General features: G+C 35.2%; 1 protein-coding gene across 7 annotated transcripts in view; it reads right to left on the bottom strand.

The window, feature by feature from the left end:
* The window catches only part of PXDNL (peroxidasin like), a 489869-nt gene that overhangs the window by 252139 nt on the left and 213704 nt on the right, over window positions 1-24026 (bottom strand). For 6 of the 7 annotated variants that reach the window (XR_007060701.1, XM_047421365.1, XM_047421366.1 and 3 more), the window contains one exon: window positions 20912-20983. The exons of the other annotated variant lie outside the window; for it this stretch is intronic. Coding sequence is in view for 4 of the 6 variants with exons in the window: in XM_047421365.1 (XP_047277321.1) it covers window positions 20912-20983 (72 nt within the window). In the remaining 2 variants the exon portion in view is untranslated. The remainder of the gene's footprint in view (window positions 1-20911; window positions 20984-24026) is intronic. 7 annotated transcript variants of the gene reach the window in all.

The raw sequence follows: 24026 nt of genomic DNA on the forward strand, positions 1-24026 counted from the left end.
GTGAGTTTTGACTCAGTTATGGAATGCTCAGAATATTAAGCTTATTTGTGTAGTTAGAGAATTAATACATGAAATCATAAAACTAATCTGAAAATTCAATGAGGCACTTATAGAAATATTTTGTAAGACAGTATACAAAAGTAAGATATTAAAAATTACTATCAGTAAGGTGTTTGGCAAACAAACAATGATCAAGAAATGTGTAGAATAAGTGAATGACTATAGATTATCCCTTATTTACAATGGTTTCCCTTTATGACAGTGCAATAGCCATATGCAGTCAGTATGCTTTTGACTTACAATGGGATTTCAACCAGATAAACCCATTGTAAATTGAAAACAGTGTAGATCAAAAATGCACTTTCTACTTACAACATTTTAAATTTATAATGGGTTTATCAGGACATAACCCCATCATAAGTTAAGCAGCACTTGCATGTAAATTAATAAAAGTAATCAATGCATAAATAATTGCATGAAAATAAATTTTGGAATTCTACTTCTGTGATATACCAGAAGAATTGAAAGCAGCTACTCAAACAGATACATGCAAAGCAGTATTCATAGCAGCATAATTCATAATAGCCAAAATATAGAAATAACATTGAACAGATATACCACACTTAAGCAAAATATAGTATATCTGTACAAAGGAATATTATTTGGCATTTGAAATGAAATTCTGATACTTGTTGCAACATGGATGAATCTTAAGAACATTACCCTGAATGAAATAAACCAAAACGAAGGTGAAAATACTGAATTATTCATGAAGTATCTAGAAAAGAAAAATTCATGGAGACTGAAAGTAGAATGGGTGCTATAAGGGGCTGAGAGTGGGAGGAATAGAGGATTATTTAATAAGTATAGTTTTTGTTTGGGATGATGAAAAAATTCTAGAAATGGATAGTGGTGATGGTTGCACAATATGGTGAATGTACTTTATGATACTGCTTAGTACTTAATGATATTAACATGATTAAAATGGCACATTTTATGTAATATATGTCTTAACACATTTTAAGGAATAAAATTTTATCACATATTGGACAGCTGTGATTATTAACTAGTTCTCTTTTTTTAAAAACACACACACACGCATAAAGTAAAAATGCTCAGAAGTGCCTTTATCATATTTATCCCACTAAATACAACTAGAAATCTTGGACATTACATATAAGACAAACTAAAAGGCCTCTGAAAGGTAGAAAGCAAATCTCCCGGGAACTTCAGGGCCCAAGATATGACACAATGGTAATTTTCTAGGTTTTCTTTTTGCTTATTTATTTCAAACTTAGAGATGAACAAGCAAAAGCCTAGAAAATATCAATGAGTACAGATGACAAAAAGTCCAAACAAATAAGGGAAGAAATAAGTCTAGCAAGACAGAAAACTTTTAGAAAATAATAACTCTATTCTAGCCAAACACTACAGAAGAAACTATGGTTGCACTCCCACTCATGCCATTAAAAGTCAACTGGGGATCCTAGATCCTCACACTTGTGAGGCTATATTGAGGCACCCAACACCCCCATAGCTGTGTTGTCAGAGAAGTAAAGTAAGGAGCTGGAATTTTCATTCCCAAATGGTGATAATAATGAAACCCGCTCTGGTATCAGTACAGACCACATAGAAAGCCTTGACCTCCACCCAAACCAGCAATAAAGAGCTGTCCTTCCTGCTCCCCACTGGAAAGGTGTCAGAGGAGAACAAGTGGATAGTCAGTATTTTAACTAATATGAAGCAGTGATGATGCCACCCCCACTACATGGTATCAGTGCAGTTCATATGGGGAGCAATAATAAAGCATTTATACCCTCTTGGCAAAGAAATTATCAGTGGAGAGCCCGCACTCCCAACTCCAACTAGAAGTAACAAGGAATCTCACCACCATGTGGGAATCAATGGAAGCCACATGGGAAACCTAGACTCCTACCTGCACCTGACAATAACGAGGCAGCATTCCTTCCTTTGACAGCAATGTAGGAGGAAGTCAGCTAAAACAGAAAATTCAAATAAGATCCAGGATCTCCTCTCCACCCAAAAATATAATGTCAAAGTCTTTACCCCCAGTACCTCAGAATGTGACTGTATTTGAAGATAAGACCTTTAAAGAAGAAATTAAGGTAAAACAAGGTCATATAGATGGGCTCTAATTTTATAAAATTAACATCTTTAGTATTTCGAAGAAAATGAGATTAGGACACAGACACAGAGTAAAGACTATGTAAAGACAAAGAGAGAAGACAGTCATTCTGTCAGCCAAGGAAAGGGGCTTTAGAAGAGACCAAAATTACATTTCTATTGTAAGCCACCCAGCCTGCGGGACTTTCTTACGGCAGCCCTAGCAAAGTAATACAGATGACAACAGCAAGATGACAGAGACGTTAGGATTATATAATAGAGATTTTTAAAGAACATCATAAAAATGCCTCAGGAAACAATCACAAACAAGCTGGAAATAACTTTTTTAAACCAGCCTTAAAAAACAAATAGGAAATATAAAAAACACCCAAACAGAAACTTTAGAACTGAAAAATACTTATCTACTGAAGTAAAAAAAACTCAATGTATGGGTCAGTGGCAGGATGGAGAGGACAACAGAAAAATAAGTGCACTTGATGAAGAGCAGTAGATATTACTCAATCTGAACCACAGAGAGAAGAACATAGACATTAAAATATACACCGAGTCTCAGGGACTTGTGTGACCATAACAAAATATCTGGTATTTTTTTTTCAACACAGTCCTAGGAAGAGAGGAGAAAAAAAGGATGAGGCTAAAAAGTCTTTAAAGAAACAATGACTGAAAACTTCCAATTTTGGCCAAAGAAATAAATCTACAGATTCAAGTTGCTGAGTGAGCCCTAAACAGGGTAAACTCAAAGAAATCTAAATCAAGATACTTCATATTCAAATATCAGAAAACTAAAAAAAAAGAAAATCTCGAAAGCAGTGACAGAGGAAAGAGAGCTCAAAGAATCATAGGTATGACAGCAGATTTCTCATCAGAAACCACAGACGCAAAAGGAATTGGTACATTTTTCCAGTGGTGAAAGGAAAGATTTGTCAACCCAGAATCCTATATCTAGCTAAAGTACTCTTCAGGAATAAAGGGTAAACCAAGACATTCTCAGATGAGGGGAAATCAAGAGCATTTGTCAACAGCAGAGCTATTTTGAAGGAATGGTTAAATGAAATTCTCTAAGAGGAAAGAAAATAATACAAGAAGGAAATATGAGGCGTCGAGAAGAAAGAATAATAGAGTAAAAATCATGGATAAATACCTTTTACCTTTTCTCTTCAGCATCCTAAATTATGGTTGATAACTGAATAAAAAATAATAGCATTTTCTGAAGTAATTCTCAATGTATGTAGAGAAAATAGTTAAGACAATTATATTATAAATCAGGGAGGGTAAAGGGACTTAAGAGGAGGAAAGATTTTTATACTTAAATAGAATGATACTTGAGGAGAATGTGATAAATTATGTATATGTATTTAATACCTGAGCACCCACTAAAAAAGCTGCACAAAGACATAAGAACACTAACAGATAAATCAAAGTAAAATTCTAAAAAATGTACAAGTAACCAACAGGAAGGTAGAAAAAAGAGAAAGCACAGAAAAGGGAGAAAATAAACAGAAAAAAAATTAAAATGTGAAACTTAAACCCAATATATCAATAATTACATTAAATAAAAATAGTCTAAACACACTGATTAAAAGACAAGGTTGCCCCTGAATCCCAGCACATTGGGAGGCCAAAGTGAGTGGATCACTTGAGGTCAGGAGTTCTAGACCAGCTTGGCCAATATGGTGAAACCCCATCTCTATTAAAAATACAAAAATTAGCCAGGTGGTGTGGTGCACGCCTGTAGTCCCAGCTACTCAGGAGGCTAAGGTAGGAGAATTGGTCGAACCTGGAAGGTGGAGGTTGCAGTGAGCAGAGATCACACCATTGCACTCCAGTCTGGGCGACAGAGTGACTCCTTCTCAAAAAGAAAAAGACAAAGATTGGCAAAACAGATTTTAAAATATGACTAGCTGTATGCTGTCTATAAGAAAAATGAGTTCAAGTAAAATGATATGAAAGTAAAAGTATGAAAAAAGTTAGGTCATGCAAACATCAATCAAAAGAAAACAGGAATGGTTCTATTAATATCAGATAAAGTAGGCTTCCAAACAAAAACAATGACTAAAGTTAGGGAAGAATATTTTATAATTATTTTAAAAAGGTCAGTCCACCAAGAAGACATAGAAATCTTAAATGTATGCATCAAGAAACAGAGCTAGAAAACATGCGAAGCAAAAAATAGAACTGACGAGAGAAACAGATAAATGCATAGTTATAGTTAAAGATTTTAATACCCTTTTCTCAACAATTGATGGAAGACCTAAACAGAAAATCACCCAAGAAATAGAAGAACTCAATAACTTCATAAAACAACACAGTCTAACTCACATTATTAGAACACTGCTCCAAAAAAAAAAAAAAAACAAACAAAAAAACTCAATTCACATCCTTTTTGAGTTCCCTGAGAATACATATCAAGATAGATCATGTCCTGAGCTATAAAGAATCCTCAACAATTTAAAATATTGAAATCATACAGAGTATATTTCCTGAACACACACAAAAAACCAATAGCAAAAAGATAACAGGAGAATATCTAAACACTTGGAAACCAAACAACGTACTTACAAACAATCCCTGAGTCAGAAAATCTGAAAAGAGCTAAAAAAAAATCGGACTAAATCAAAGTGAAAATACAACATCAAAAATTAATGGGATATAGATAAGGTAGTATAGAAAGGAAAATCTATCATATGACATGCTTACATTATAAAAGAGCAAAAGTTTTGAGTTAATAATCAAAACAACCACTTCAGAAACATAGAATACAAGAGCAAAATGAACTCAAAGCAAGAAGAAAATAATAAAAATAAGCAAAACTTAATGAAATTCAAAACAGATAAACAACAGAAAATCAGAGAACTAAAAAAAAGCTGATTATTTTAAAAAATTAATAAAATTGAAAAACCTCTACCAAGACTGACAAAGAACAAAAGAGAGAAAACACAAATACCAATATGAGAAAATCACTACAAATCCTGCAGACATTAAAAGGATACTAACAGAACACAACAAACAATTCTACACATATATATTTGACAAATTAGAAAAAATGGACAACTTCCTCAAAAAGCACAAACTATCAGTTCACTCAGTGTGAAAGAGATAATGTGAATAGTGCTATAACTATTTAAAAAATTGAATTCAGAACTTAAACATTCTTGAAAAAGAAATCTCCAGGCTCATGTTGTGTCACTGAGGAATTTTATCAGACATTTAATGACAAATTTAATACCAAATCTACACAATCTCTTCCAGAAAAATAACAGAGAAAGAATACTTCTCGATTCACTTTACAAAGTTAGTATTAATGCGATACCAAAACCTGAGAGATAGTAAGAAAAAAGGAAACAACATATCAATAACCCTCATGAATATGGATACACAAATTGTCAAGAAAATATTAGCAATATATTTGAGCAATATATTTAAGAATTATACTCCATAATATAGGGAAGTGTATTTCAGGAATACAAAAGTAGTTCAATATTCAAAAATTAATGAATAAAATCCACTCTCTACATATTTATGTGTGTATATATGCATTTATATATGTATGTATTTGTGTATATATGTATATAGAGAGGGTGGATTTTATTTATTACTTTGAAAAGATCAATATAATTGAAAAACCTCTGGCAAGACTGACAAAGAACAAGAGAGAGAAAACACAAGTACCAATATGAAAAAATCACTACAAATACATATATTTTATATATATATATAAAATCTATCTATCTACATATATATATATATATAATCAGGCTAAAAAAGAAGTTATATAGTCACAGCAATAAATAAGGAAAAAACCTTTGACTAAATTCTATGCCCATTCATGATCAAAGCTCCAGGAAAATAGAACTGTAGGGAAATTTCCTTCACTTGGTAAAGAGTTTGACAAAAAACCTACAGGTAATCTTATCAGTAATGGTTTAAGACTGAATCCTTCCCTCTAAGGTCAGGAGCAAGGCAGGAATGTCTGCTCTTACCACTCCATTGGAAGATCTAGGCAATGAAAACAGATTGGGAAAAATAACATACAAATAAGAAAGAAAGAGAAAGAAAAGAAAGAAAAGAAAGAAAGAAAGAAAGAAAGAAAGAAAGAAAGAAAGAAAGAAAGAAAGAAAGAAAGAAAGAAAGAAAGAAAGAGGAAGGAAGGAAGGAAGGAAGGAAGGAAGGAAGGAAGGAAGGAAGGAAGGAAAGAAAGAAAGGAAAGAAAGAAAAGAAAGAAAAAGAGAAAGAAAGAAAGAAAAAGAAAGAAAGAAAGAAGGAAAGAAAGAAAGAGTGAGAGAGAGAGAAAGAAAGAGAAAGAAAGAAGGAAAGAAAGAAAATATATTCCTGTTTACAGATAATATGCTTATGTATGTAAAACATTTCAAAGAATCTACTCCCCAAAATAATCTTAGAATTTAAAAAGTGAGATCAGCAAGGTCACAGTATACAAGGGAATATGAAAATCAATTGCATTACTAGTTTCTGGCAATGAAAATGTCAACACTGAAATTATACTAAAAAGCAATACTCTTTGCAGTCACTTGAAAACAAAATACCTAGGTATAAACCTACCAAAAGCTTTAGATAATGTTTATTTTAAAACTATAAAACACTGATTTTAAAAAATTAAACAGATCTAAATAAATGGAGACTTACCTTGTTCATGAATTTAAAGTTTCATAGAGTAAATATGTCATTTAGCCCCAAACTGCCATACAAATTTAAAACAATCTATAAAAATTCAAGCAAGACTTTTGTACATGTAGACAAAATTATTTTATGTTTTAATGGAAAGGCAAAGAATCTAGACTAACTAAAAATTTTGAAAAAAAATAAAATGGAAGGAAACTGTCTACCTGGCTTCAGGATGTATTATTTAGCTATAGTAATCAAGATTATTTGGCAAAGGGGTAAGCATATAGGTAAATGTAATAAAATAGAGAGCCTAGAAATAGACCTGCAAAATATAGCCAACTTATTTTTGACAAAGGTGCAGAAGCAATTCAGTGGAGGAAAGAAAGCATCTTAACAACAGGTGCTGATGCAACTGAACATTCATGGCAAAAACACGAGCCTTGATCTAAGCCTCACACCTTTTACAAAAACTAACTCTATGTGGGTTGCAGAATTAAATGTAAATATGTAAACTATAAATCTTTTAAGAAAAAAAGTTAGGAGAAAATCTTCTGGATGGATAGGCAGGAAAAGAACTGTGAGACTTGACACCAAAGGTGTAACCCATAGAAAAGAACTTTGATAAATTGAACTTCATCAAAATGAAAACACCTGCTCTTCAAAAGACCCTGTTAAGAAGACTAAAAGTAAGTTACAGACTGGAAGAAAATATTTGAAAAGTACATATCTGATAAAGGACTAATCTCCAGAATATATAAACTCTCCAAACTTAACAGTACAAAACCCCACAATCTCATTAGAAGTTAAGCAAAAGACATGAGCAGACATGAATAGAAGATAAACAGATGGTAAATGTTCATGACAGATGTTCAACATCATTAGCCATCAGAGAAGTATAAACTAGAACTGCAATGAGATATTCCTATACACATATCTGAACGGCTAAAATTAAAAATAGTGACAATGCAAAATGTTGGCAGGGGTACAGAGAAACTGGATCACATACTGGTGAGAATATAAAATGGTACAGCTCCTCTGGAAAACAATTTATCAGTGTCTTTAAAACCAAACATCCAATTACCATGTAACCCAGCAATCACACTCCAGGATGTTTATTCTAAAGAATAAAAAATTTAAATTCACCCAAAAATAGTTGTGTAAATTTTTATTTATGTGTGAAGCAATGTTAATCACCACCATAAAGATTTTAATTCTTAATAGCCAGAAACTGGAAATAACTCAGATGTCTTTCAATAGGTGAACGGTTAAACAAACTGGTATATTGATATCATGGAATATTACTCAGCAATAAAAAGTAATAAACTATTGATATTACGCAAAAACCAGGATGACTCTCCAGAGAATGATGCTGATGAAAAAAGGCTTTTTGTCCTTGTGATAGTTTGCTGAGAATGATGGTTTCCAGTTGACGAGTTAATGGGTGCAGCACACCAACATGGCACATGTATACATATGTAACAAACCTGCACATTGTGCACATGTACACTAAAACTTAAAGTATAATAATAATAAAATTAAATAAATAAATAAATAAATAAAAAGAAAAAAGGCAATCACAAAAGGTTATATATTTTATGTTTCCATTTAAATAACATTTTTAAATAAAACTGTGGAAATGGAGAATTGACTGGTAGTTGCCAGGATTTGAAGAAGGTGTGGGCAGAGGGAAGCGAATGCAGCTATAAAAGAGCAACATGAGGGACCTTGGGTGATAGAAATGTTCTTTATCTTGACTGTATCAATGCCAGTATTCTGGTCATACATTCCATTATATTTTTGCTATATTTATCATCAGTAGAAACTGGATAAATAGTAGATGTTATCTCTCTGCGTATTATTTCTTACAGTGGCATGTGAATTTATAATTATCTCAGAATAAAACATTTTATTTAAAAAATGTCTGTTGAATGAATGTAGATTGAAATGAATGAATAAGTTAACTGAAATCATTTTCCCTGTAACTGTATCTAAGTCCAAATTCCATTCTCTGGAACTACTAAGATTAATTTAATCCATTTTATCATACAAAACCAATTTGTTCCACACATCTGTTCATTAGACTTTTGAATATCATGTTCCACCAAAGTCATCCATTCTACAGATTAAAAATACAGTTGATGTACATAATAATTTATTTAACATGTGTAAGTACCAGAGACTGCATACCATTGCCTGGAAGACAAAAGTAGCTAAAAAATTCCTTGATACCAAGTAGCTTATCACTTTGTAGAATAGAAGGATACAACAGCTATATGACAAACTCAAATATTGAAATCAGAGGGAGAGAAAAAGAAATAACGTCTCACATGTGAGAAATAACTCTGGTTGGGGAAATCTAGAAAAGTTACATAAAGGATGTGAGCTGCTGGCTGTTCATGAAATAGATGCATAATAGAAGGCAAACTCCATAGATATTTTTTTGCATAATTAGCAAATATACAATGCAAAACAGTGCTGAGTCTATTTCTCCCTCTCTTTTCGCAAACCTGAAAAGGATTCTCTCACTATGGACCTTACCCTAGTGAGTAGGCAACAGGCAGAAAGGTGGCTGATTAGGAGAACTGGTCTTGAGTAGCCTGAAATCAAAGAAAAATCAGGAAATAGGAAGGAGTGAGAAAAACGTCTGGAGGAAAAGAAATCTTGTAGCCTTGGATCATTCTGGTTAGGGTAACAGTATGACTGATTCCAATCATCTGTAAGGTTGACCTTGTATTACCAAACAGCTTCATAAAAGCATATGCTTGGGAGGCCAAGACGGGCAGATTGCCTGAGCTCAGGAGTTCAAGACCAGCATGGACAACATGGCAAAACCCTATCTCTACTAAAAATACAAAAAAATTAGCTGGGCATGGTGGCATGTGTCTGTAATCCCAGCTACTCAAGAGGTTAAGGCACAAGAATTGCTTGAACCTGGGAGGCGGAGGTTGCAGTGCAGTGAGCTGAGATCGCACCACTGCACTCCAGCCTAGATGACAGAGTGAGACCCTGTCTCTAAATAAATAAATAAATAAATTTTAAAAATTAAAAATTAAATTAGAAAATAAAACATATGCACCAGAAAAAGAAATGAAATAAGTTATCTTCGTGAGAAATTCATGAAAGCATAAAATTAGGTATCAAAGAGTTTGAGTCAAATTGAAACACCTGTGTTCATCAGGGATACTGGCTTGCAATTTTCTTTTCTTGTAGCATCCTTGCCTGGCTTTGATTTCAGAGCAATTCTGGTCTCATAAAAGCAGTTTGGAAGTATTCCTTAATATTAAATCTTTCAAAAGATTTTGAGAAGGATTGGCATTAGTCCTTGAAATGTTTGGTAGAATTCAGCAGTGAAGCCATGAGGTCCTCAGCTTTTGATGGGAGATGTTTCATTACTGATGCAATCTGCTTATTCATATGCCTGTTCAGATTTTCTATTTCTCCCTCATCAATCTTTTTTTACCTGTCACAGAAAAATTTAATTACATGGAACACATGGGAATATATTAGGATTTTTTTAAAGCAGGCTACAAAATGATATAATTTTTTAAATGTATGTGTATATATAAGAAGTATACTTTTAAGTTTCCTATGGAGCTATGGACTGAATTGCATCACCTCAAAATTCATATGTTGAAGCTCTAACCTCAAATGTGAGTATATTTGGAGATAGGACTTTTATAAAATAGAGTTAATGAGGTCATGGGTTGGGATGCTAATCCTACAGGATTATTACAAAGCACATGTACTGAGGAAAGAGGGTGGCTGTCTGCAAGGAAGAAAGCACTCACTAGAACTTGACTATGCTAGCACTCTGATATCAGGCTTCCAGACTCCAGAACTGGGAGAAAATCAGGGTTTGTTGGTTGAGCCATCTAGTCTATGGTATTTTGTTATGGTATCCTGAGCCGATCAAGATATACAGTAAATGTATGTTATTCTCATGACTAGAAAAAGATCTTTTCAGCAACAGCAACAACTTTGAAAGGCTCTGACAGGTAAATTTTATTTAAAAAGTGTTGCACACAAAAACACTTGTCTATATTCAGGGTCATAGAGTTCTTTTGAAGGACAATGTTATGATACTTTATAAGAAATCCTACATTACCTTATCTGATGCTTAGTAACACTGATATTTATCACTTATTACTCCCTCTTACTCTTGATTTTATGATTTGAGCAGATAGAATGTAAAATGATGTTTTTTTAAATGACTTCATCAATTATGATAAAATTATATGCTTTAAATTCCTCAAAAGTAAGACACTACAGTTATCCTATGTTAAAGCAGTCTTTTGAAATTAGTCTTATGTAACTAGAATGACCACATGCTTGACTTGCTTGGGACGGCCTAGGTTTATACTCTATACTGGCATAATTGTTAGCAGTGCCAGCTTTCACTCTCAAAAAAAAAATCCTGGTAAACGATGGCTGATCTACACATAATCAATTGCAGAATAGGATAGTTACATTGAAGGAATTTTATAAATGTAGTGTTTCATCTGGGGAAGGAAATACCATCTAGCACTAAAATCTGAAAAATATGGTTGTCACAGTATATAATATTCAATTATTTAAATATTTTTCTCACAGGGAACCAAAGTAAATTTTGTGAGTGAATTGAAAAGTACTAAGAACAAGGTGCCAAAATATTTTTTAGGTGATTGTGTTAGTCCATTGGCATCGCTTTAAAGGAATATCTGAGGCTGGGTAATTTATAAAGAAGAGAGTTTTATTTTGGCTCCCAGTTCAGCAGGTTGTATGAGGAACATGGCGCCAGCATCTGCTTGGCTTCTGGTGAGGGCTACAGGAAGCTGACCATCGTGGTGGAAGGCAAAGGGGGACCCAGCATCACATATGGAGAAAGGAAGCAAAAGCTTCCTTATCAATCTTGAAAGGTTGCATGTTTCTAGAAATCTCTTTCTTCTAGGTTATCAAATTTTGGGGTGTATAGTTGTTCATAGCAGTTTCATTATCTTTTGCATTTCTGTGGTATTAGTTGTAATGTCTCCTCTTCCCTCCTCAAAATTCCTGAATCTCATTCTGGACATTTTGACTCCAAATGCATAGGACATAGTAACTTACTATTAAAATATTAAGATAGAAAATAAATGAATAATGTTCCTCTACTATATCAGTTCATAGATTTTATGAGGACAGAGCCAAATCTTTTTTGCTCACCACGACATAACTAGAGCCTAGTATAGTACTTCCATGGTAGGTGTTTATTACATTATTGTTGGATGGATGAATAGATAAATAGATGGATAGATGGATATTAGATAGATAGACTGTTGGATGGATGGACAGATGGATGAACACATGGATGAAAACTAAAATTTCTTAATCAAAATATGCTGACAAAGTAATTATATGTCAAGATTATAAAGTAATGCTACCTAATTTTCACGAAGAGAAAATAGTTGCCAGTACAGAGAGAAAAGATAGACGTATAGGAAGGCTGGATGAGTCGCCCAAAGAGGACCTTCCAGAGGTTCCTCAACTTGGCCTACAAAATGAATTTAGTCAGAGCATCTAAATATATTTTATTCTTTTGGAAACTAATTTTCCCTATCCAAAGTCATAAAAAAATCAATAAATCAATTAATTAATAAGATATGTTACTTCCTTGAAGATTGGGCTATTTTTCTCAGGTAGTCAGCATATTCTTTCCTTGATGGCAAATCTGTACAAGATGACAATCAGGATGCTTGATGAAAACGGATTCAGAGCTAGATGATGCTAATGCTTGTTCTCATTGAGTTATGATCATTTGATGCAGCTATTTCTCTAAGTGGGTAAACCTGCTGAGTGACCAGTCCACCCCACTCTGTAAGGCAGGGAATACTTTCCCAGGCAGGGTAGGAGAGGTGTCACTGCTCTTCACTCCCACCCCAGACTGCCTGCTCTGCTTCTGTTCCTACAATTTTTCTTAGAAGGGCCTGGTATTTTCATATTTGTGTTCTTGGTAAAATTAATTGCTGTGTTCATCTATTCCATATATAAAACCTTACAGGTTTGTTGCACAGATTACTGACAATGTACATCTCTAATAACATAGTAGGTAAAAATAAGTGATCTGTTATGTGATCATCAGAGTCATGCAGCGGGACGTATTTTCAGGAAGACACAATATCCCAACATAATACAGTTGCCAAGAGAGTATGTGAAGGTGGCAATTCAGAAGGATATCAAATGCCACATACCAGGAACTTTAGAACTCAGAGTTTGAGGAGGTGATTGTCATGAAGGCTGAAGATATAAATAAAGTTGAATCTTATATGTTCTGTTAATGAGATTTTACTTCATCCCAAAAACAATGGGAGCCATTGAAGAACCCTAAGAAGAGTGGGCTAATCAAGTCTTTTTTTTAGAAAAGATGACTAGTCGCCCTTCAGAGATTTAGAAAGGGAAAGATTTGGACAAAGAAATAAAGTTTTGTACCGGCAAGGGTAATGGATATGGAAGATAGAAGGTAAGGCAGCACAATGCGGGTAGATTGGAGGGGAATAGAGCAATGTTAACCTAGAAACTTTAGGACTTAACAACTAACTAGACACAGCAGGAGAGAAAATGTGAGAAGGCCAATATGATGCACAGATATTTAGTTTGGATGACTGTATGAGTCTGTCATCATTTCATAAAATAAGCACATTTGAAGGGGAAAGTAAGGAGTGCGTTTGAAGGGAGAAAGATAATGAGTTAAATTTAAGTCACGTTAAGTTTGAAGCTCCTGTGGGACATATCAGGGAAATATTGAGTTAGAAATTGCATGTGTATGGATTGGGAAACATAAAAGCAATCCAGGCTAGAAATAAAGATTTGGGAGCCAGGAGCATCTACATAATGACTGAAACCATGGAAGCAGATATGTTCCACCTCAGGGAGGTGTAAAGTGGGAAAAGAGAACAGCACATGGGCAAGAACTCAGGGTGAAGGAGTCTGAGCAGGCAGGTCAGCAAATGGCACACCAGGAACATGCAATGTCACTAACACCAAGGAGATTAGAGGGTGAGCAGTCAATGGAGGAGACCATGAAGCCTCATGAAACATAATTAAACACAGAATGGTTCCATATGTTTAACAACATGAGTGGCCTTCATCAAAAAACCTTTAGTAGAGTGGTAGGAATGAAGGCTGGTTTGGAGTGAGTAGAAGTAAGTAAGAGCTAACTACACGGAGACAGAAAGCTTGGCACACAAACCCTCTTCCCCCATGATTCGGTCCTTGTCAAACTTGCTAGCCTTATTTCTCATCATGCTCCATTCAGGCCCTTCCATCCATTCATTAAAAGATACTTGCCATAACACAAACATACCAGACTATTTGCTGAATTTTCTCACAACCTTCTTGCTCCTTCCATCAAGACCAACCTGCCACCCACCCCTTGTGGCTCTCCAGATAGATATGGCCCCTTTTCTCTTTGAGTTCCTACTGCATAATCCATCCTGGATACTAACCCAGGATGTGCTTGATTGTGATTGCAACCTGTACCTCAACCCCTGGAAGCCCCAGACCTATATGAATGTGACAGAGTGCAGAAATGGCAAAAAATTCCTCCCATCCCTGATTCATACCCCTTTGCAAGGTGATTAAGCTGCTTCATCCACCAAAATATGGAGCCTGTTTCTCCAGTGCTGAATCACATCTTGGTCATGTGGCTTAACTGGCCAAATGGAACACTAGCAAACATGACAGAAGCAAGGCGTGGAAAGCACTCATCCCTGACTATGCTAGGGATAAGATCATTGTGTGAACAAGCACAATCTAGCTGGCTAGAGAAAGAGAAGCCACATGGAAAAGAAAAGGATCCCAGCTAATACTGAGAAATTGCCAGCTATGTGAAAAAAGTCATTCTAGACCAGAAGATCTGAGCCAGCCTAGACAAAAAGAACTGACTCATTAGTCCATGGAACAATCATGAGAGATAGAAATGCTTGATTGTTTTAGGCCACTAAATTCTGCAGTGGTTTGTTTCACAGCAAAAGCTGAGAGAGTGGACAAGAAACCACAAGGAAATTGCACTCATTTTGTTAAGATTGTCATTAAAACCCAGTGAGTGAGAGATTTCAGACCTGGTGAGAGTTGTGTCCTTCAAGCTTACACTATTAAAGGTCACATTCTTCAATGGCACTTACTTGCCTAATATTTCAAAAAAAATCTTTTTATCTATAGGATACAATAGAAATAGGGCAGACTCCCAATAAATTCAAAGAAACTGGAGAGAAATGGAAAATGCCAATGCTAAGGATACAATTGCAAGTGACGCATTCAGCCAATAATCTAAGTAGGTGAGTTTGTGCAAAAAGAGCAGCATTTAGTAATAGGAGTTCAAAAGGACAAAGCTGCTCAGAGCTGGGCTAGTAGGAAGAAGCTATAATTCAGAGAAAATACTAAACTTAGAGAATGATAACCATGGCCAGAAACAGAATCACAGATTTGAATATGGAATAAATTTCCTCTTTAAATGCTAGCATTGATGCCTAGTTTATCGTAAACATGCACAGAGATGCATCAGTTTTTTGCCCCATGGGTAATTTGAAACTTGTGAAATTATCAGTGCCCTTAAGTAACATGACTATTATCACATTTTGTATTACAGTGATTTGATATCATTATCAATGCCCGTAAGTAACAAGATCATTATAATTTGGATGTCAAGATGTTTCTGAATAAATAAACTTTATTTTTGGAGTTTATCATTAGATTAAGTCAAATGGTTAAAAATAATGAACATTGCAAATGCTATTCTTAAGGGTTGCTAAATCAAAGAAAAGAAGCTAAAGTTTAAGTGTCTGCTAAACCAAAGAAAAGGAGAATTTTGCTCTTAGATCTTCAAGAAATCTTAGCTCTAAAATTCAGCTAACATTAAATGAATCACTATATCCAAAGATATTCTCAAACAATTGTATTTTTTTAATTTGAAAGCACAACTTGTCTTAAGACATTTCAATTTATTTTTGCCCAAGGGGATCAGAGATACATTTTGGATCAAAACTCACTAGAATTTCAGATGAGTTTACAAATGCTTGTGTCTTAGAGGAAAAGCTATGCTATCCTTTGTGTTTGGCAGGGTAAAACTGCAATTCTGTGGTATAGTCAAATGAAAATTAACCTCCTGAATATACAAGCACTATAACTACCTTATGTAATATAAATACTTGTAATCTTTGGGAAAATGCACGCTATAAATAATTGATAAATACACATGTTGTTGAAACAACAGAGGCATTTAATAGTGTTATCATTCCTCTCTTAAGATTAACTCAACATAACTGAGAGTCTTAATTAAGCAAATATCAAGCATTTATTGAGTACCTTATGTTCATACATTTATTCAACAAATATTTAATGAGTAGTTCCTGTGTTCTAGATACTAATTCTAGATGCTGACCTATGTGATAAATAAGGAGAGCATGGCCACCCGACCTCACAGAATCCAGTGGGGAAATCAGAAAATAAATAATTTAACAAATAGATGAGAAAAAATAAACTTTTGTGGTATATGCAATAAATGAAATACACAGGGTACCATGTTAGGGAGAAAAAGAGAAGTACTGGTTGGCTTAAGGTGATTGCTAGAGGACATGACATTAAAGCTGGGACAAGAAAGGGAAAATAGCCAAGGAACAAACAATAAGCAGGACATGCCCAGGGTCAGAGAGTAGAAAGGCAATGCTTACCATATTTGAAGAAATAAAAGAGCAATGGATCAAGTATAAAGAGCAAAGAAAAGATATAAGAACTTGCAGATACTGTATGCATTGAATGGGTCTTCTAACTCACAACCCTCTTTCTCTACAAAATTCCCTGGTTTGAAAGGCAATGGTTACTTGGCAATGTTATTGAAAACATGGCAAAATTTACTGCAGTGGGTACATGAATGTGTTCACCATGTACTGCTTCACACATCTGTTATCCTTGCCTTTTAAATAACATGTCTTACAAGAGCCCAGACTCTTTTTTCACTTAATAACTAGTGTTTTTAATTGGCCAGAGCATTGATTAGAAGTTGTGTGAAATGATTTTTTGTTCTCACTCAGAGCAGAGAATACACTTGTGTATGTAATTGATCCAAGCCTCTGCAACATTGAACATCTGTCTTATTCAAAATTAATTTCCTGCTAATAACTGTCATTTTACTTATTTCCTCATTGAATATTAGTGCTAGTAATGAGATTCCTTCTAAATGGATATTTGAAAAGCCATAAAGGTTCTTGTTTTGTTTTATTAATTTGTTTGTCTTACTCTAAGGGAGTTACTCGTGACATGCCCATGAGTAGAGAACTACAGAGCAGGATTGAGATGAAACACAGGGAGAAGGTCAAGCTCCTTCACTAATGAGGAGCAGGCTTTGCACACCCCCAAAGTTTGAAGGATCCTTAGTAATATGTAAAATATGGAAATAAAGAATGGCATGCACCTGGGCAAGTGCTATGGTTTTAATATTCCATCCAAAATTCACTGAAATTTAATTTCCAGTGTAACTATGATAAGAGATAAGACCTTTAAGAGGTGATTAGGTCATGAGGACTCTTCCCTCATGAATGGGTTAATGCCATTATCACAGGAGTAAGTTGGTTATCACAGACGTTTGGCCCTTTTTCTCTCTGTCTTGTGTGTTTGTTTGTTCTTCCACTATGTTGTGACACAGCAAGAAGGCCCTCTCCAGATGCAGCCCCTCAGTCTTGGAGCTCCCAGCCTCCAGAACCATGAGTCGAATAAACTTTTCTTTATAAATTTCCCAGTCTGTAGTGTTCTCTCACAGTAGCAGAAAACTAAGACAGATAATTGGTATTGAGAGGTGGATCTGTTGTTCTAACAGATACCAAACAACGCAGAAGTAGCTTTGGAACTGGGTAATGGGTAAAGGCTAGAAGAGTCTGGAGGAGTAGGCTAGAAAAACCCTAGATTGCCATGAACAGAATGTTAAAGGTGATTCTGTTAAGGGCTTAGAAGAAAGAAGAATCTGTAGAAAAGGTATGGAATGTCTTAGATATTAAGCGGTCATGGCCAGAATGTTGATAGAAATATGGACAGTAAAAGCCATTCTCATGAGGTCTCAGACAGAAATGAAGAACAAGTTATTGGAAGCTGGATTAAAGGTCACCCTGTTACACAGTTGCAAAGAACTTGGCTGAATTGTGTTGGTGTCCTAGGACTTTATGGAATGAAGAACTTAAGGGTGATTAACTAAGATGTCTCATGCGAGAAATATCTAAAGAGCAGAGCACTCAGGTTGCTGCATGGCTACTTCTAACCACATGCATTGAGAAGCTAGAGGAAAAAACTTAAAGATGGAATTTATAATTAAAAGGTAAAAAACAGAAAGATTTGGAAAATTTGCAGGCTGGCCATGTAAAGAGTAAAAAAGCATGTAAAAGAGAGAATACTACAGGTGTGCCCAAGTGACCATTTGCTAAAGAGGTTATCACAGATAGTGATTCAGGTGCTATTCATCAAGTGAACAGGAGAAAGACTTCAAAGGCATTTCAGAGGCCTTCAAGGCTACCCCTTCCCATCGCAGGCCCTGAGCTCTAGAAAAACAGAATAGTTTCAGGGAATGGGCTCAAGATACCTTCCATGGACTTGCTGCTCAGAGCCACATTGGGTCTCTGCTTCCTGTGTTCCAGCACAGTGCATGACTCAGCCAACCCCACCTATAGCCTAAGTGGGTTCCTGCAGTGTGCATGCAGTAAGCCTTGACAGTGTCCACATGGTATAAGTCTCCAGGCTCACAGAATACAAGAGCTGTGGGAGTAGGGCTCCCTTCACCTAGATTTCAAAGGATGTACCAAATAAACTGAGAACCCAAGCAGAAACCTGCCACAGGTAGAGCCTCCACAGAGAGTGCTCACTAGGGCAAAGCCTAGTGGATCCGTGGGATTGGGGCTGCCACTGAGACCCCAGAGCTACAGGGCCACCTATAGCCAGAGTGGAAACTCCGGCCTGGGAAGGTCATAGGCATGAGACTCCAACCCAAGAGAACTGAAGCATGGCTGAGCCCAGCAAAGACATGGGGTCGTGGCCACCTGAGGCTTTGGAGACCCAAATTCCCCATGTCCAGAAGGTGGCAAATGGAGTAAATGATTATTGTGGAAGTCTAAGGTTTAACATTGTTTTCCCTATTAGATTTTGGATTAACTTAGGGCCTCTTGCTCCTTTCTTTTTGCCTATCTCTCCCTTTTGTAATGGGAATGTCTATCACATGCCAGCAACATTGTCGTATTTTGGAAGTAGATATCTTGTTTTTTTTTATTTCACAAGCTTACAGCTGGAGAGGAATTTGCCTCAGGATGAATCACACCTTGAGTCTCACCCATACCAGATTCAGATGAGATTCTGGGCTTTGGACTTTTGAGTTTGTGCTAAAATAAGTCAAGATTTTTGGGGCCACTGAGATGGAATAAATGTATTTTTGTATATAAGAAGGACATGAGTTTTGTGAGGCGAAGAGGCAGAATGCTACAGTTTAAATGTTTGTTTCCTCTAAAACTCATATAGAAATTTAATTGTCACTGTGATGGTATTAAGAGGAGGGACTATTAAGAAGTGATTAGGTCATCAGGGCTCTGCCCTTATAAATGCCATAATGCCATTATCATGGGAGTGGATTAGTGATTGAGGGATTTCAACCCCCCTTTTTCTCCATGTCTGTATGCTCATTTGTCCTTCCATCATGTTAGGATACAACCCCTTGATCTTGGACTTCCCAGCCTCCAGAATGATGAGCCAAATAAACTTTTTTTAAAAAAATTAATTACCTAGTCTGTGGTATTCTGTTACATCAGCAGAAAATTGACTAAGACGGTATGTTAGATTTGTTATGAAAGGTTAGGCGAGCAGATGGAATTGACTAAACTAAGAGGAAACTGAAACTTTAGGACTCAGTAATTAGCAGAGCTGTGGGAGACCTCTATGTTAGGCTGAGGTGTCTCAGCTGAACACAGGAGGCTTTGAGGCTCTTGACCTGGGTTTAACAGGAATTTCAGTGGTTTCGGGAGATACTACAGTTGTATAAATTTGGTCAGAGCTAAAGATTGGAATGGTGTCTTCTCTTTAAGAGAATAATTAACTTTTTAGCAGTATGCTTAATTAATCTGCAGATGAACATATTTGTATAAAAATGTTCATTATCGCCTTAGCATTTTTTTTTTTTGAGACAGAGTCTCACTTTGTTGGCCAGGCTGGAGTGCAGTGGCGCCATCTCGGCTCACTGCAAGCTCCGCCTCCTGGGTTCACGCCATTCTCCTGCCTCAGCCTCCCGAGTAGCTGGGACTACAGGTGCCCACCACCATGCCTGGCTAATTTTTTTGTATTTTTGTAGAGACGGGGTTTCACTGTGTTAACCAGGATGGTCTCCATCTCCTGACCTCGTGATCCGCCCGCCTGGGCCTCCCCAAAGTGCTGGGATTACAGGCGTGAGCCACCGTGCCCGGCCCATTATTGCCTTAACATTTTTTTAAAAAGAAAGTTGTAGCACTCACTCTAGCTGAGATAAAAGCCCTTGTAGTTTGTTTCTTCAGCCTCCAACATAACCATATCCAATCATGACCTCCCAACATTCAAATTACCAAACACCAATGTTTCTGAGTCAAACAGGCAGTTGTTTAAAATATCTTTATTCCCATTTACCAATAATACACAAAAACCATGACAATTGTCAGTGATCATATTTGTGACCTAATTTTTCAGAAATTTGGTCCTTACCCAAGTTTATTAAAGTTCCTAACTAACTGTAATGTGTTCACTGGCTTTGGAAGGTCTTGGATAGATACTCTGTTGGCATAAAGCTCCTTTAGCCAACAACAAAAAAACCCTTTTCTGTGTGTATGGAATTTTTTTAAATTACTGAGTAATTAAATTTGAATGTGAAATATTGGAAAACTGTTTTGTTTTTATTTTTCTCCAATTTAGAACTTGTGGCAGGAGAAATGTGCATAAATATTTGAATATTTTCAGATGCACAATCTATTGAAAGCAATAATTTATTGCACTTAAGACATGTTCATATGTGAGTTTTATATAAAGGTTGAAACTGCTTTTCACGAAGGTAAAGAATTATTTTAATTTAAAGTAAACACACACAAAAAAGGCAAAAATAGTCAAACAACACCATAAGGCATTGTTGTTTTTTCTTATAACTTACAGATATAGCAAATTTTCAAGTCCTTCAAAAGCATTTCTGGAAATCTTTCTGATGTGGTTGTTGTTCAGCAGACTGAAAAAGCAAAAACAAACAAATAATTCCCAAATGAGAAACAGACTCTGCAAACATTAAAATAGTTCTGCTAAGTATAGTGCTTTACACAACAGAAAAATATTTACTGACATGGTTCACTAAATTTGGAAATTTATACTTTAATTCCCTATTCAAAAAAGTGATATAAAACATTAATTTGTCACAAAGACTTTAAAATAATTTATATTCATTAAATTACCCTAAAACACTCCTAAAACAACACTGCAACCCAGAGGTAAAATTCTTGTTCTCCTGAAGCATACCATCTAAAAAGAAAATTATCAACATAGTCATGGTAACAAAGGAACATATTCCTAAACAGATGGAGAGTATTGAACACTCAGGCTTAAGCATCTTCCTTGGAAAAATAAATATCACAGATATTGACACACAGTAGACTTTCATTGTGTATTTGTTAAACTGTCAAACCAAGAGTCAATTACACCATAGGAAGTGAGGCTCTTATTATAGTAGTATCCAGTGGTCCAAAAACGATTTCTAAAAAATCCAGGGAGAAAAATAATAGGTGGCAGAAATAAATCGAATTTGAACCGTAAAACAAGTTACTGAAAAATCAACTTGCAGTAACCTTGAAAGCTTCAGTAAAAGCACCCTGGCAAATGAAAATTATAAATTTTTTTCTAGTAAAAACACTTAAAATTTCTTTCAAATTTAAATTATTATGGCATGTCTAAATATAGAGGGAAAGTCTGCTAATTAGATTGGCACACATGTTCCTGAATATTCTATGTCTAAAACCCTCAAAGCTTTTAAAAATCTACTGCCGAAGTCCAATGCTGGAGGATTCACTTTTAGCATATTACAAAATATTTGTTTTGTGGGGTTTTTGTATGAATGATTAGGAAAACAGAAGTGTTTTGGCCACTGGAGCAGGTGATTATTTCAGTTATTATGCACAATTTCACAGGCAGCCTAGAGATCCCCAAGCTCATCTGTTCCTAACTGATTCACTGTAGGCCTCACTGTTAAATTCCCCAAACAGCATCTGAAGTGGCTGACACCTCACCTATGGCACCAGAGCCATTTCTCACCATTTGTGACTGCCTGGTGTCCTGGCCATTGGGAGGCAGAACAACCAATCTACAGCTTGCATTGGAGGTGATGCCATACAGAGATAATGTCAATTTTCATGGATAATTCTAAGCTTCAGTCAATGAGCCATTCAACTTTATAGTCCACCATGTGTTCAAGGAATTTTTAAACAGGCTGAAAGCAATATAACTAGTTAATGTGTAATTAATACCAGACACAAACCTTGTCCTGGGAGAATTTGCTGTTTAGGCACTCTCCCATTCTATTGTTCAAAATCAATTAATGCACTTCTGTTAGTTTCCCAAACCACCACCATGCAAATATATTTACTTGAAGAAATGACTATTCTGTCCACCTTAGTCTATTAAATACAACATGCACCAATGCATGTAGAATAAACTATACGTGTGTATACATACATATGTGCATGTGTGTATGTAATTTGCATGTCTGCTATGATGCATGTGTATGTGTGGTATGTGACACATGTATATAGTCTCAACCTCATATTAATCACAGATCACAAAAAACAATTTGAGTGACTATTTTCTTAAATCTTCCAACGGTGGTGCCTAGGAGAGAGAAATTGACTCATTTCATACAAAAGGTGTCTTTGGGCATTAGTGTTAATTATCTTTCAAAGCCACAATTAGAAACGGAAAAGATATTACATACCATAATTAGTCTTTCTTCAGTATATTAAATGTGCTTGAAGCCTAGGTTTCTGCATATTCTTTTAGAGTTATTTAAATTTTAACAAAAATGAAACATAAGATTTCAAAAAAATTACACTGAAATTATGATGTGCATAACCTAAAGTATGAGATCAAACAATTTAACTTGTTTTCTTGAGAATTTTTTTATTGCTGACAAGAAATCAACTCATTAAAATGGTTCACAGTTGAATGTATTTTCCAATCACAAGTACATATTTCTTGTCAAGTTTTATTCAAAGCATTATGGTTTCCATCAAAATATCTTTATTATAATTTTAATGGTTGGAACCTTACCCAAGTAATGTTTTGGTTAAGTGGTTATAGAAACGGTCATTTATGTTATGTTGTTTTATTATTCAGAAAGAAAATGCATTCAAAATGTATGAGTGGGTCTGCTAAAATTCAGGGCGTAAAACAATACCTAACATTATTTCATCAAAACTCAGCACAAGCATAGGGAAATTTGTGGCTGTACCCTATATCCTCATGATGCCCATGATGCCAAAGGAACAAAACAAAACAAAAAAGAAGCGAACAAAACAAAACAAAAAAGAGGCAAGCAAAACTCTCAAGAAGAAAATGTAAAAATGTTACAGTTTTTATTGAGAAAATAAAACAATTTCTGAAAACAGGATATCTGAATATACTGATGATCAAACTTTTGGGGTAAAAGAGGAACCAGCAATATGGACCAATGGCCCAGTTTATTAGCTGTTTTTTGCTGAAACACAAAGCCTTACCCAGAGTATGCCCATATACACTTGCATATTTACTAGTATAGAAATGTATACTGTGTGGTTGGAAATATTTTATTAAAAACCAATAAATGACTGCTAGAAAAGATTAAGGCTATTTGCATAGTCATCAATTCATCAAAGTGTAAAATAAAAAATAAAAATAATAAAATTTATAAAGAAAAATAGAACTCTCTCCCACCTCACATAAAATTTCTACTAGGATAATGCCAAGATTTACTCCACAAGTGAATCATTATCTCTACATTTAAATGCAAATAATATATTTTTTGTAAGGGGCAATCATGTTGGTCTGTTCCTGCTTGTTATGGTTATGCTTATTTTCATTTGGATACTCCAGAAATATGGTTCTGCTACTGTTAACATGAAAGGGTTGTGAACTTCATTTCTGTGCGTACCAAAGTAAACATAGTATGAAACTTTCAGTGAGCATAAACCATTATTCTGGAGTGATTTGCATAGTCACCAAGCAAGAGATTCATGGCAAAAGTCACTTAT

Source organism: Homo sapiens, chromosome 8, assembly GCF_000001405.40.
Source record: "Homo sapiens chromosome 8, GRCh38.p14 Primary Assembly".
NCBI classification, from domain to species: domain Eukaryota; kingdom Metazoa; phylum Chordata; class Mammalia; order Primates; family Hominidae; genus Homo; species Homo sapiens.